At 38.6% G+C, this 15,699-nt stretch overlaps 2 protein-coding genes across 4 annotated transcripts in view; one reads left to right on the forward strand and one right to left on the reverse strand.

The window, feature by feature from the left end:
- ILDR1 (immunoglobulin like domain containing receptor 1) overlaps window positions 1–3,177 on the reverse strand; it is a 74,333-nt gene extending 71,156 nt beyond the window's left edge. The window contains exon 1 of the mRNA XM_047448044.1: window positions 1,942–3,177. The gene's annotated coding sequence lies outside the window, so the exon portion shown is untranslated. The remainder of the gene's footprint in view (window positions 1–1,941) is intronic.
- Window positions 1–15,699, forward strand: part of CD86 (CD86 molecule) — a 65,775-nt gene that overhangs the window by 3,117 nt on the left and 46,959 nt on the right. The window lies entirely within an intron of this gene.

Raw genomic sequence — 15,699 nt, forward strand, 5'->3', positions numbered from 1 at the left:
GGGGCTTTTGTAGGCCACCAGCTATGGGCTTCACGGGAGGTTAATGTGGTTTAAAGTCTCAAGACCTGGGTAATTAAATAGACAAATGGGGTCTAGGTGCATGGGGGAATTTTAAGTATAGCTTTGAGAAGATGCCTAATGGGGAGTAATAATAGAGAAAGAAGCTGGGTGGGGCCAGAACAAGGAGCCCACAGTCCAGGCATCCAGCTATGATCATCCTAAAGGAACAGCCTAAGTTTGAAGAATCATAAACAAATAGAGACATGATAAAATTTACTTTAAAAAAAATCCCTTGGCAGAAGAATGAAAACTGATTTGGAGTGACAAGGAGATCATTTAGGAGACTATTGGAGTAAGCCAAGGAGAAATGGCGAGGGCATGAAACCAGGGCAGTTATGGTGGGATCAGACTGGAGAGGATGCATTTAAGAGATATTTTAGCACCAGAATTGACAGAATTTGGTTTTTGACAGATGTAGACACTGGGAGAGGAGGAGAGATCTAAGTGCATAGTGGCATCCTTCACAAAATGGAAGGTATAGGAAGCAGAGTGGGTTTGCGCCAGGCAGAGAGAAAAGACAGATGGTGAATTCCTTCTCTAACATGTTGAGTTTGAGGTGCCTGTGGAGCAGCTGGATAGAGATGTCCAAGCAGACAAGTAGATATTTAGGTGCAAGTTCAAAAAAGAGGGATGGCCTGGAATGCACATGAAGAGTCTTCTGCATAAGTATGGTTGACAGTTGAAATTCTCATTGTGGGTCAATTCAGTAGCAGAGAGGTTGGAGGATTGAGAGGAAGCCAAGGACAGAACCTGGAAAACCTTGACATCTAAGGAGGGAGATGAGGAAGAAGAATCTACAATAGATACTAAGGAGGGGCTAGAGAGACTGGAGCAGCCCAGGAGAAAAGTGGTGTCATAGAAATCAAGTGGGCCTGTAGTCCCAGCTACTTGGGAGACTGAGGCACGAGAATAGCTTGAACCCAGGAGGCAGAGGTTGCAGTGAGCTGAGATAGCACCACGGCACTCCAGCCTGGGTGACAGAGTGAGACTCCGTCTCAAAAAAAAAAAAAAAAGAAAGAAATCAAGTGGGGAGATGGATGCAAGAAAGAGGAGAATGCATTCATGGAAAGAGCATATTTACCAAGCTTTCCATGTTGAACACATGAGATGTGACATGAAAGGTAACTGTAGTGACTACATGTTAAGCGTTGAATTGTGGCTCCCTTAAAATTCATATGTTGAAATCCTAACTCCCAGGGCTTCAGGATTTGATCATATTTGGAGATAGGGTCTTTACAGAGATAATAAAATTTAAATGAGGTCATTAGGGTGGGTCCTAATCCAAGACAATTGTTGTGCTTATTGTAAGGAAGGGAAACACACAGCGGAAAAGCGGTGTGAAGACACAGGGCGAAGACGGCCATCCACATACAAGCCAGAGAGAAAGGCTCGCAACAGATTCTTTCCTCACAACCTTCAGAAAGAACCAACCCTGTGGAAACCCTAAGTTTGGACTCCTGGCTTCCAGAAAAAAAATAAATTTTTTTTGTTTAAGCCACCCCAGTTTGTGGTACTTTGTTACCACAGCCCCAGCAAACTAATACACTTGGTGAGAGTGCATACAGCCAGAGAAAGAAGCTGTGAATAAGTGCATCAGGGAGGAGGGAAAGAAACCAAAACAGGATTACATCACTTAAATTAAGAGTAGAAACATTTCACAAAGCAGAGTGTAGTCACAGGTCAAATTCTGCAGAAAGGCGAAGTAGGAGAATGACTGAAAATGTCAGTCCAGAGGCCCTCAGTGACCTTGACCTTTGCAGAACACTCCCAGTTGAGTGGAGGCAGTAGACTTTGGAGAGCTTGGAAAATGGAGGCAGCACAGATGGTCTCCTGCAGAAAGTCTGGTGATAAAATGAGACCTCCTCACTGGAGTAAACTCACCTCTGCTGTCGGTGGAAATAATCTGGAGTCAGGCCAGCCAGACCCAGAGTTCTTCCTTCCTCCATTTTAAAGGTTAAACAGAGCTGAGGTCAATGGCTCATGCCTGTAATCCCAGTGACTCAGGAGGCGGAGGTGGGAGGATGGCTTGAGGCGAGGAGTTCCGTTCAAGACCAGTCTGAGCAACATAGCGAGACTCCCATTCCTAAAAAAATTTTAATTTAAATTAAAAAAAAAGGCTAACCAAAAATAAAATCCAATACTTTATTTTTCCCACCCAAAACTAGTTTGGGAAGGATTTCTGGAAGAAAATAATTTTTGCAGTCATTTTACATGTTGGATTTTGAGTGCACATAACATACAGATTCTATTCTGTATTATCAGTTCAGAGGCAAGTTGAGATTTGAGGCTTCGCAGAGGTAAAGCCTCTGGTGAATCTGGTGAGATAAAGAAGAAAACAAGCCCAAGAGGAATTTCAGGGATCATTTATAATTTACATCAATAAACAGAATGGGAAAAAAAACCCATTAGAGTTTGGAATAGAGAAGTATTAAAACACTTTCTTAGAAAGCTTTGAGTCAAAATTAATCTTTCTGTAGTGGCAGGAATATGATAAGCCAAACAACCCTAATGTCACAGCTCTATATTATTAGGTGTCGAATCAGATTTGCACTAAAACATCAAGTAAAAATAAAAGGAATGAACATTTGGTTAAGTGAACCAATTAGTCAATACACGCCAGAAAATGGTAAAACTGGATAAACCTAAAATACTCAACTACCTAGATTAATCAAGGCCAACCTAGATTATCACCCCAATATTACAACTATTTTCAACCAACTAAACAATAAATCTTTATCAAGAGCCTGATAGTTTAAGGTACTGTGATGAATACAAATGAAATTGCTGATACTTTTTTTCAAGTCTATTTAGAAATAGAAACCCACAATTATGAAATGACAAAAACAATTAATGCAGTTAATAATTCAGTAACTTTTAAAAAGAAATAAACATGACAAAAAGTTCATTCTCACCAAATACTAAAGAAATGCCAATTCAAACACCAATGAGATATTTTCCTGTATCAGATTAGACAGTAAAACAAACAATCCAATCAGAAAAATGGGCAAAAGATATAAAAAGACATTTCCCCAAAGAAAATATACAGATGGTGAACAACCATATAAGAGAGTCAACATCATTTGCCTTTATGAAAAAATTAAACCACTACCTACCTATAAAAATGGTTAAAATAATAAAAGATAATGACAACACCAAATGATGGCAGGATGCGGAGAAACTGGATCATGCATACATTGCTTGTTGGGAATGTACAATGGTCAAGCCACTCTAGAAAACAGTTTGGCAGTTTCTTATAAAACCAAACATGCATTTAGTATATGACCCAGCAACTGCATTCTTGGGTTTTGATCCCAGAGAAATAAAAGCCTATGCTCCTGCAAAAATCAGTATATGAATATTTATACCAGCTTTATTCATAATAGTAAAAAACTGGGGAAAAAAGTCCCTCAGTGGGTGAATCGTAACACAAACTGTGTGTGCAAGATGTTACCACTGAAGGAAGCTGGGTGAAGGTACACAGGACTTCCCTGTACATTTTTTCAACTTCTTTTGAATCAATAATTATTTAAAAATGAAAAGTTTAAAAAGTAAAAAAAAAAAACAAAAACTAAAAATGTTCATCTTCACTAAATATTAAAAAAAATGCCAATTCAAACACAAGATATTCTCCTTTTACAAATTAACAATTTATATGGATTTTGGGAGGGTTGGGAGTAATCATGCTAATAAGTATGCAATAAGAGGATACTTTCGTATACTACTGATTGTGGGAATATGAATGGGGAGAACATTTCTGGAAAGCAATATGTCAACAATATCAAGAGTCTTAAAAATGGTTGTACAAGCAGACACCCATTCTGGGCACTGCCAATTTCTCCATGTCCTTAGTACATTTTTTTTCAGTTCATTCAGCATCTTTGTTCCAGGCACTGTGCTAAACATTAAAAATACACCAAAGATGAGTATGAGTAAACATGATTTCTGTTCTCAAGAATTTCAGTTTTGTGGTAAATATATCAAAGGTGATTTTTTATAAGAGTTTTTTATAACAGGGTGTGACGTTTCATAGGAGCATGAAGGTAGCTGTTTCCTATTTGTCTGTAGGCAGTATGATGTCTTAGATAAATGCCAGGGTTTTGAGCTAGTTTGGTTGGTATCAAATAATAAGTAGTTAATAAATCATCTTCTATTTATTAGTGGTATCACTTTGGGAAGCCTATTAGCTTCCTGAACTTCAGTGTCCTCTGTAAGATGAGGCTACTAAGCACTTGCCAATGCCATGAGGAATATAACAATTTATAATGGACAGGAAGTCCTATGGATATAAGATATTTTAGGACTCACATTCTTTGCTTTAAAATCTATTATTTCCTATATTTTTAATTGTCAGAGTTCTTTAGCTCTGCCTTTTCTGATTGATTTCCAGCAGATGGACTCTTACCTATAACCTAGAAGTTGCTATAGTAGACCTCCTAACTATAGATAAGAGAAGGGCATGCCAAATGCAGTTGAATCAGGTGAAAGTCAAGCAACAAAGCTGCCTAAAATAAATTTTATGTAAGGTAGGGTGCCAAAATCATTAAAATAAAATTCTATTCTATAACTGTAATCACGTAAGTGCTTTCATGAAGTTGTCTATGAAAACTTTCTTTTTCGCTTTCTGGACTTCAAATATTTTAAGTTTGCTTTTCATTTACAAAGATTTTTTTGCTCATTAGTAATCATGAACTGTATTCAAACTTACACTTCTAATTCTAGAAGATATATAAACTACCATTTTTTAATTATAAAAATGTTTATATATCTTGCTTTAATAATTTCACCTCTAGGGATCTAGCTAGTTAAATAACAAGAGCTACGGAAACATATTTGTGCACCAAAATGTTTATTACATTATTTAATGTAATGAAAAATAAGAATCAACCTAAATAAGTAGAAGAATAGGTAAGTAAGTTAAAAATGAAGTTAATAATGACTCCTTAATGAGAGAAGACAACATAAGGCTACATACAGAATTGTAAAGAAAATAATCCACAGAATGTGTGTTTTATTTTGGTAAATGGTTCCTAAAACTAAGTAAGTACATAGAAAGATTTTTTTTTTTTTTTTTTTAAAGACAGAGTCTCACTCACGTTGTCACCTAGGCTGGAGTGCAGTAGTGCAATCTCAGTTCACTGCAGCCTTCACCTCCCGGGTTCAGGACACGCCACCACACCCAGCTAATTTTCTTGTATTTTTAGTAGAGACACAGTTTCATCATGGGGCTGGTCTCAAACTCCTGACCTCAAGTGATCTGCCCACCTTGGCCTTCTAAAGTGCTGTATTATAGGTGTGACCCACCGCACCTGGCCTAGGAAGAATTTTAGAAAGAAAGCTCCATATCAGGAATTGAGAAGCCGGTGTTTTAATTGAGAATATATTTGCACAGAAAAATCTTGGCATAAATATTGGTTTACAAAACAAACAAACAAAGTAATGTCCTTTAATCTTGGATCAGGAGCTGCCCAACAACTCCAAAAAGTCAGCTCATGCAAAACCATCCAAGGACAGATGAATCAGCCAAACAAGAGAGAAAGGGGAAGGGAAAGTGTCTTTTCACAGGCAGCTTTTGAGGCAGTGCATAAACCATGCCTCTGCACCATCCAGACCAGACAGTTGTGACACAGGGTTGACAAAGCAGGACAACGAAGGGTAGCTGCTCCTAAGGTGGGGATGATGCTGGAGCAAGGGGGAGCACCAAGAGGAAAAAAAAAAAGCATAAAAATAAGATAGCATAGTAAAAAATAAGATAGTCATAGTAGTTACCTCTTGATTGATGGGATTATGGAAATAGGGTTATTTCTTTGACTAAAATTGCCAGATCTTCAGTACAATTACATTGCTCTGCTGAGCAGGATGAAATCAAGTTGAAAAGTAATCTAGTAGTGAGGTACAGCCCGTATGCTGCAAATGGCCAACATAGATCCTCAGATGACAGAAGTGAGTGATGCAGGCCTGTGGTTTACGTACAGCTCCATGACGTATGAATGGCAGAAGCTGTGTATGTCCACAGGCGAGCCCCATTTCAAGAAGTGCTTCTGGTCACCACTCTGTTGTCCTGTGTATAAGGATGTGGTTCAGAACAGCCAAGTCTTATATTTCAAGAGGAGCCAGAAAGACAAACTTACCAGTGAAATCCTAATATTTATATAATAGCTCAATATCTGGAGGGGCTGGTTTGGTATAAATCACCAGTTTTACCTCTGACCTCTGTTAATGCATCAGAGGTTCAGGAGAGAGTGAGAAAATTGTAAATGGAATATTTTAGGACTATTATATTGGGGCCCAGGCTTTAGTGAGTCAGAGCGAGAAAGTAGGGGGCTGAAACTATTTGACTATTAATTTATTCAATAAAGTTTTATTTAATGTTGGAAAGATGAAGATGAATCAGATAGAAATCCTGTTTAGAAGCTTCTATGGGAAGAGATATCACCATAGCTAATATGTCTTAGCCTCTAAAAGGAATTATGGCAAACTATATTGTATCATATATGATCTCATTTAATCATCATAACTGCAGGAGGTAAGTAGTATTATCCCTGATTTTCCATAAGTGAAAACTGAGTCTCTCTTAGTTACATAGCTGACAACACAACCAGGATTCCAAATGCCAGTCTGATCCCAGAGCCAAGCTATGAACAACCATGCTATATATTATGGCAGATCAGGGAAGGAAGACATTACTTCTAGCAGCAAGAAACATTTGTGGATGAAAAGATTTGAGCTTGGAGAGAGCTGTGTTGAGCCATGTCCAAAACAATTTTTGGCAACCATACGATAAAGGTAAAAGCCAGAGATTGAAAAGTAAAAGCTGGTGGACTAAAAATGGTCCATAGACAGAGAGTCATCAAAACAACAAAACAAAACAAAAACCTTAATCATAATTAATTGCCAATATTTCAAAAGTCTGGAGAATTCACATAAGTTTAGATTTCCAGCTCTTCTGGAGAATTAGAATATCTAGTAACAGTGTGCTAATAATCCCACATGGTAACAACTGGTGAATCTGGCAGAGGCTGCCCAGCTTCCAATGGTGTATAAGCTCTCCTCTTCCTATGCAACCTGCCTGCCTCATTTATATGAGCTGCTTGGATGCTGCAGATGCTTGAATCTAAGAGCTTTGGTCTGGAAAGTGAGGCCCTAACAAGGAAGAAGGAATAACCTATGGATCAAGGAGAACTGGGAGTCCAGAAATGAAGGTTATTTGTAAGTCTGGACCCAGCCATTCCAACTCCTTTGAGGAAATAAGATTCTAAGGAAAAGGCCGTTTGCATTCTGCTCTCCAAGATCTCTGGGTGTTGGAAGAAACTGAATTGGGGGAGAGGGGGAAACTTGACTGGGGGCTCAATACAGACATGTAAATTTGAAGGAAACAGAGAGTTTAGATGACAGGCAGTAGAAAAGTTAATGTGTCCATTCTATGGCTGACCCAAGATTCTGTTTCCAGAAGACCTCTCTGGCTTGTTAAGTGTTCATGGTTGCAGGGGAAAAGTTAGAAAAAAAGAAAAACAAGCCAAAACCCAGCTCCTTAAATGTTTCTAATTTTATTTTCAAACAATCAGGCAGAGTAATCCCTTTACACACTCTTCAGGCATTGGCTGAGGGTCCCAGTCAAGAACCATTCAGTTTTGGGGGCCTTAAGAAAAATATTTCCTATGATTAAAGGAACTTTGGACAGGTTATTACCTTCTTTGAGCCTCAGTTTCTTTGTCACTTAGAAGGTTGAATGGTTTCCACATTCTGAGGGTAAGGAATACGAGAGTGAATGAAGAAATATCAAGTGCATAGCTCAGAGTAGGAAGAAAGAAGTGACCAGGGACAAGGCTAAGAACTTACTCAAAAGGTGCCCAGCTGCTCAGCATTCTGTCCAAAAAAGGGACACTGACATCTCTCCAGCATTCTAACAGCAGTCACATAGCATTATCAGCTAGAAATGAAAACAGATTCAATTCTATATCCTGCTAAAAGCTTGAGGGTCACACTAGCTGTGTGATCTTTGGCAGCTGGCCAAAACCCTCTGAAAGGCAGTTTCCTCACCTATAAATTTTTTAAAAAATATTTATTGTGAAGATTAAATGAAGTAATGCATTTAAAATACTTAGGGTGCCTTAGAGTTCCAGCACAGTTCGTAGCTCATAGTAATCAGTTAATAGATATTGACTTTAATAAATAGATACTTAACTGAGCCTCCACCCTGGGCCTGTTACTATGCTAAGTACCAGGAGTGCAAAGGGAAATGAAACACGTTCCCCAAACTTGTGGAACTCAGAGCAGGCCAACTATATGAGTAGTAGATTTTTAACACGATGAGGAAACTGTTATAATGGAAAAATAAATAGTGTGAAGAGGGACTAAGGAAGATAAAGATATGGTGAAAAAAAGAGGGTTCAGGCTCCAACTGTGGCATGATCTAGATCTGCAAGGAAGAGTAGAGAATTGCAGTAGAGAAAGCAGGGAAGACATTCCAGGCAGAAGAAACAGCTTCCACAGAGGTAAAGAAGGCAAAACGTTTTCAAAGGTTCTAGGGGTGGGGGATGGTGGGGAAGATGGTCACGGAATAGTGAATGGTTCAAGTGAAACTGTTGTATGGGTTGTGAGGGCAGTTTTATGGGTTGGGTGATAAAATCAGAAGAGAAAAATTGAATTCACGCTTTGAAAGGCCTTGTGTGTCTTGCTGAGAAGCGTGAACACTAACTCATGAGGAGTAAGGCGCGGGTCTTTAAAGGAAGGAAGTTTCATAATCAAATTGTTTTCCATGAAAGATAATGAAGGGAGCCAGCCACAAGGCTGTTGCAATCAATCGTCCAAACAAGAGGTGACAAAGACTCTAAAACTGGCCACCAATGAATTGAAAGTGGATGGTGAGGAAGAAAGAATACAGGGTGACATAAACACAATATGTAAAATCCAAGGTATGAAAATGGCCTGGTCCCTTCGTCCTTACCACAGTCATCCCAAGAGACCAAAACAAAAACACAGAAAATCTCTTTTAAAAATAATCTCTTTTGTTTGTATGCAAATAGGCCATCCACAGTGAAAATGCAACTCAAATGCAATATTTTATCTGCAGTCCACCAAATGCAAAGATCAAATTGGTTTACAAATGCTGTCCTTCTTAAAAATTCCAACTCCTCACATTAAAACTGTAGCCAGCTAGTGCAAGTTAAGATTGTTTGCAATCTTAAATAAGATTTGAGTAAAGCTGAAATTGAGACACTTTTCAAAAGAGGCCATCCCTTACTCACATTGCTGAAGAGTAGAAAGATTGACACCTTCTTTTATCAGAAAATTTCTTTCAGGGAGTAATGCCTCTTGTGTGGTGGCAGACCCTTCAAGTCTTCCAGATAAAGCATGTGATGGAAGTAGCAGGGAGCTGCAAAAATTGCAACTCTATGATTCTGCATCACCGACTTGAAAACTACAAGCCCAGGTTGACAAATGTACATTTTAAGTGTTCAGAGAAGTCTTAAGTGCCTTGCTTTGGTCACAAAGTTGCCACAGGGAAGTAAGTTTTTGAATGTGCAGTGCCCCGTCCCCAGCTCTGTTGTGAAATGGAAACTTTAAAAAAAAAATCACTGATTTAAAAAACCACTGGTTTTGTTTTTTAACAAGTTTAGTCATATTGCCTGTGTTCTATATACCCCAATCTATTTTATTTTACTTTGTAGTGTACATTTAATTTATACTCAAATAAATATTTTACATAAGGTGCTTTCACGGACCTTCATGCTTCCCTAAATATTAAATATGCTGCCCATTTGTTAAAATGTGTTAGTTTTGTTATGTATTATATCCCTTCCCCTGCACACATAGAAAAAAAAAATATGAACTTAACCTTCAAGCAAGTTTTACGTTTAGAATATTACCTCATTTTATTTCTTCTAACTGAGGTTATAAAGAAAATGGCAAATGTCATGTGCTTTGTAAAGAAATGACAGTTTCTCAGAATACGTAAATGCACACCCTTAGACAAATAGGCCACTTAAATTCAGAATCACAGTCTTTTGAATATTGGTTTAATATTCTCAGATAAAGATTGAAAGGATAACAAGTTTTGGAATCAGGTGTTTACTTTGAGTTCTGAAAGGTGACATCACAGGTGTTGGTAGTTTATTGATATTTAATTTTTAAATGTGCTGCTGTATATATTTCATTTGATTAGAAATATGTTACATAGTTATGTTATTTGTTAAATAATAGACCATCTTTTGTATAACCTATCAGAAGAAGTTCTGAGATTGTAAGATTAGATTGTAAATCCTATTGCATAACTAGAATACAGAATTATTAAATTGGAAAGGAAGTTAAATCACTTAGACCGTCCTTCCCCCAGGAAGTCCTCTCTACAGTGTTATCCATGACAAATGTTTATGCAGGCACCCTAACCATTTAAAATACGAAGAGAAGGAGAAGAGATATATCGAGAAAACTATTCCTGAGACAAGAGACCAGGGGAAAACTTTTCTTAGTTGTAACCTACACAACTAGCTAGAATCTACCTCATGCTCTTAAGATGGTGTTTAATCATGAGGATATCATACATAACTGAAATTGTATAATGTTGAACATCTTTTGGTGGCAAGTACCTTGACTTTATTAAATCAGTGTAGGTCTCCTGCATTCAACTATGGTCTCTAGGAGGGCAGGGACCACACTTCTTAGCTCACCTTGGATCTCAAGACCAGTCCAAGGCCTTCATTCAGTCAGAGCTAGTTAAGCATTTGTTAATTGAATGAAGGAAATTAAAAAAAAAAAAACTAGAAATTCCAAATTGTGCAATTACATCTGTGAATTTTAAGGTGTTATTGGAAAATGGGAAAAATTACTGAGATTCGAAGATGGATAGGAACAAAGGTAAAGCATGAAAATGTGCATATTTGTGTGTTGCTAGAGTCAATAGTGATTGCCAGTTCCTATGCAGCCCTGGCACCACCTCTGAAACCTTGGCCAACCCCTGCCATTAGGTGTTGAGATACACGACAGGCAGGTGAGGAAGGAGGGGTGCTCTGGATGTAGTCTTGCCGCTAGACTGTGGTCTTTAGTGTCCATGTCCATGGGGTGAGTTGTGAGCCCATCAGTTTCCCACACTACAGTCCTTCTCTGGCTTAGCCTTCCTTCCCTGTCCTGTGGTCCAGGTTACCCCTGGCCCCTGTGGCCTTCCTCCAGAGATGGACCTTCCTCCACACACTTCTCAGGAGCTCCTGATTCTAGGCATGCCCCAGAACACCGCAACTCCACTCTGCCCTGTCTCCATCAGACCAGAGACCTCACTTAGACCCTGGGTATGGGGTTGTTGGTTCTCCACTTGCTGCGGTTGTCACTAGCCTGAGCTCTATCCTGAGCTCTGTCCATCCTTCTCATCTTCCTCATTGCCCTTTCTGCTAAAGCAACTGCACATCTGAAGGCTATACTTATCCCTAGTACAATGGTACTTTTTCTAAAATGCATACACCCTAATGCTTACCCTTTTGACAATTTTTTCCTGAACCTACCTTTTAATATAAGCAAATTCAGTCTTCAATTCAAATAAGTGTATTTTGCTGCTGAAGCCACCATGTGATTTTGAGAGATAGTGAAGACAGACAGTCTTCTGCATTCACTTGTAGAATCCTGAAAATACCTCTTGGTGTCCCTTGCCTTTCTGACTTCTTGCTTGAAGACATCTAGACAAAAATGTGTCCCTGGGTCCTAGTTTCTGGGTTCAGAAATTGATCGAATGCAAGAAAACAATACACATTGCCTCTTCCTTAGCATGCATGAATGGTAGGTGTGAATTTGCATCATGAGAAAGTAAATAAAAGAAGATTCCCCAGGGCAGCTAGGGAGGCAGAAAAAGCCAGCCTAGGATGGGAGTGGAGGACATGTTAGAGGTTATGAGAGTGAGGGTCCATCCTACCCCACCTCGGTAACTCACTGGTATGGTATAAATGCAAAATTTTGGCTCACACAAAGAAAAATACTCAACTTCTAATGCTTAACTATGTAAAATTTGCTTTTAAAGTACAAGTTAAAATTGTATCGCCCCTCAAAGAAACAAGAAACTCATTACATTTCTAAGAATGTTCCTTCAGAAACATGGAACTGAAAGCTATTTTTAAAAATTGATCTGGCCCTTAGAAAACTGGGGCCTTTTCTTTAATTTACCTAAGGAATTGACATAAAAGTCTAGGGTTCTGCACCAGAAAAATGCAGAAAGTGTCAAAATAAAAGGCAGAAATACAAAAGGAGACTTTTTGCAGCAACGTTCTATGTATAGCATTGATTCCAAGGGTGCAACATAGGGAAGTGAACATGTGGACTGTGAAATTGATGCTAATTTTCTTTCCCACTAGTCTAGCAGCCCTCTAAAATGTCACATTATTAATTTAGTTACTTTACCAGAAATCCGTGTATGTGGTTAGCATGTGTGTTTTTTTTTAATTAACAGACTTTACTTATTTTTAGAACAGTTTTAGATTTTCAAAAAATTGAGCACATAGTACGAGAATTCCCATCTACTCCCTTTGTGGAACACAATTTCCCCTATTTTTACCATCTTGCATTAGTGTGATGTATTTCTTACGATCAAGCCATTGTTGCTTCATTATTATTATTATTTAAAGCCCATAATTTACATTAAGTTTCTCTCTTTGGGTTGTACAGTTCTATGGATTTTGACAAATACACAATGTCATGTATCCACCATTATAGTATCATACAGAATAGCTTCACTGCCCTAAGAATCCCCTGTGCTCTGCCTGTTGACCCTTCCCACCCCTCCCCAACCCCTGGAAACCACTGATCTTTTTACTGTCTCCACAGTTTTGCCTTTTCCAGAATGTTCTATCTTTGGAATCATACAGTATGTACCCTTTTCAGATTGACTTCTTTCATTAAGCAATATGAATTTAAGTTTTCTCCATGTCTTTTCACATCTTGATGGCTCATTTCTATTTATTACCACATAATATTCCATTGTCTGGATATACCACAGCTTTACCAACTGAGGGGCATCTTAGTTGCTAATTATGAATAAAGTGGCTATACATATTCACGTGTAGGTTTTGTGTGGACATAAGTCTTCAATTCAATTGAGTAAATATACCTAGAAGTGTGACTGCTGGATCATATGGTAAGAGTATATTTACTTTTTTAAGAAACTGCTAAACTATATCCCAAAGTAGTTTTACCATTTTGCATTCTTTTCTTTATTTTTTTTTTATTATACTTTAAGTTTTAGGGTATGTGTGCACAATGTGCAGGTTAGTTACATATGTATACATGTGCCATGTTGGTGTGCTGCACCCATTAACTCATCATTTAGCATTAGGAGGTAAATCTCCTAATGCTATCCCTCCCCCCTCCCCCCACCCCACAACAGTCCCCAGAGTGTGATGTTCCCCTTCCTGTGTCCATGTGTTCTCATTGTTCAACTCCTATCTATGAGTGAGAACATGCGGTGTTTGGTTTTTTGTCCTTGCGGTAGTTTACTGAGAATGATGATTTCCAATTTCATCCATGTCCCTACAAAGGACATGAACTCATCATTTTTTATGGCTGCATAGTATTCCATGGTGTATATGTGCCATATTTTCTTAATCCAGTCTATCATTGTTGGACATTTGGGTTGGTTCCAAGTCTTTGCTATTGTGAATAGTGCCACAATAAACATACGTGTGCATGTGTCTTTATAGCAGCATGATTTATAGTCCTTTGGGTATATACCCAGTAATGGGATGGCTGGGTCAAATGGTATTTCTAGTTCTAGATCCCTGAGGAATCGCCACACTGACTTCCACAATGGTTGAACTAGTTTACAGTCCCACCAACAGTGTAAAAGTGTTCCTATTTCTCCACATTCTCTCCAGCACCTGTTGTTTCCTGACTTTTTAATGATTGCCATTCTAACTGGTGTGAGATGGTATCTCATTGTGGTTTTGATTTGCATTTGTCTGATGGCCAGTGATGGTGAGCATTTTTTCATGTGTCTTTTGGCTGCATAAATGTCTTCTTTTGAGAAGTGTCTGTTCATATCCCTTGCCCACTTTTTGATGGGGTTGTTTGTTTTTTTCTTGTAAATTTGTTTGAGTTCATTGTAGATTCTGGATATTAGCCCTTTGTCAGATGAGTAGGTTGCAAAAATTTTTTCCCATTTTGTAGGTTGCCTGTTCACTCTGATGGTATTTTCTTTTGCTGTGCAGAAGCTCTTTAGTTTAATTAGATCCCATTTGTCAATTTTGGCTTTGGTTGCCATTGCTTTTGGTGTTTTAGACATGAAGTCCTTGCCCATGCCTATGTCCTGAATGGTAATGTCTAGGTTTTCTTCTAGGGTTTTTATGGTTTTAGGTCTAATGTTTAAGTCTTTAATCCATCTTGAATTGATTTTTGTATAAGGTGTAAGGAAGGGATCCAGTTTCAGCTTTCTGCATATGGCTAGCCAGTTTTCCCAGCACCATTTATTAAACAGGGAATCCTTTCCCCATTGCTTGTTTTTCTCAGGTTTGTCAAAGATCAGATAGTTGTAGATATGCGGCCTTATTTCTGAGGGCTCTGTCACTATACATCTACTAGAATGGGTAAAATCCAAAAATCTGACAATACCAAATGCTGCTGAGGATGTGGAGCAACAGGAAGCCTCATTGCTCCACATCCTCAGCAGCATTTGGTATTGTCAGATTTTTGGATTTTAGCCATTCTACTAGATGTGTAGTGGTATCTTACTGTTTTAATTTGCAATTCTCTAATGAGGTATGATGCTGACCACCTTTTCATATGCTTATTTGCTGTCCGTGTACCTTCTTTGGTGAGGTATATGTTCAGATCTTTTGCTCCTTATTAAATTGGGCTGTTTGTTCTTTTATCTTTGAGTTATAAGAGTTCATTGTGTATTTTGGATACCAGCCCTTTATCAGATATATCTTTTGCAAATATTTTTTCCCCAATCTTTGGCGTGTCTTTTTATTCATATAATGGTTGATACATGTTTCTGCTTTAAGGAGGAAGGGTTTTAAAAATACAATTTACAGTAGCAGTAAAAATAAAAATTTATTGCAAATGTCTTATGTTCACTCTCAGGTGATGTCAGGGAACTATGGACCCAGCAGGGTTTAATTAAAGGGGAGTGTCAAGTCCTGGGGGCTGTGGTTGACAATCCTCCTTTATTGGCAATTGTGCAGCAGGGCTGGGAGTAAGAAGACAACCCAGTCCTGAGCTGCATCACTTCTAAATTAAGAATAATTCAGGAACTGTGTTTACGGTGAAATCCTGGCCCTTCTCACATAGATTATATTATGCATAGGATATGAATTTCTGTCCATGAATCCAAGTATATATGAAATCATCACTTTGAAAATTTCCTTTAACTCAACTTAATCCCACTGGTGAGCCTCAATCCTGCCAGTTGAAAAAGAGACTGTAACTGGGTCATGCAGGAGTCTCCTTCCTTTCCTGCAGCCCAGTCAGAATTCAAGAAGTTCACCTGGTAACTGGAAAATGATGGAAGGGCCTCAAGTCCCTAGTCTGTCCTGGTTGCCATTGGCACCCTTACTATCTGAGCCCATAGTGGTCTGTGAAGTCCGGCAGCTCCCTGCCCCCATGCCACAGTGGGGAATGAGAATATCTACTGATGCTGGGCCCCATGAGCAAAGCATGCTGCCTTTC

This window comes from Homo sapiens, chromosome 3, assembly GCF_000001405.40.
Source record: "Homo sapiens chromosome 3, GRCh38.p14 Primary Assembly".
Taxonomy (NCBI): Eukaryota; Metazoa; Chordata; class Mammalia; order Primates; family Hominidae; genus Homo; species Homo sapiens.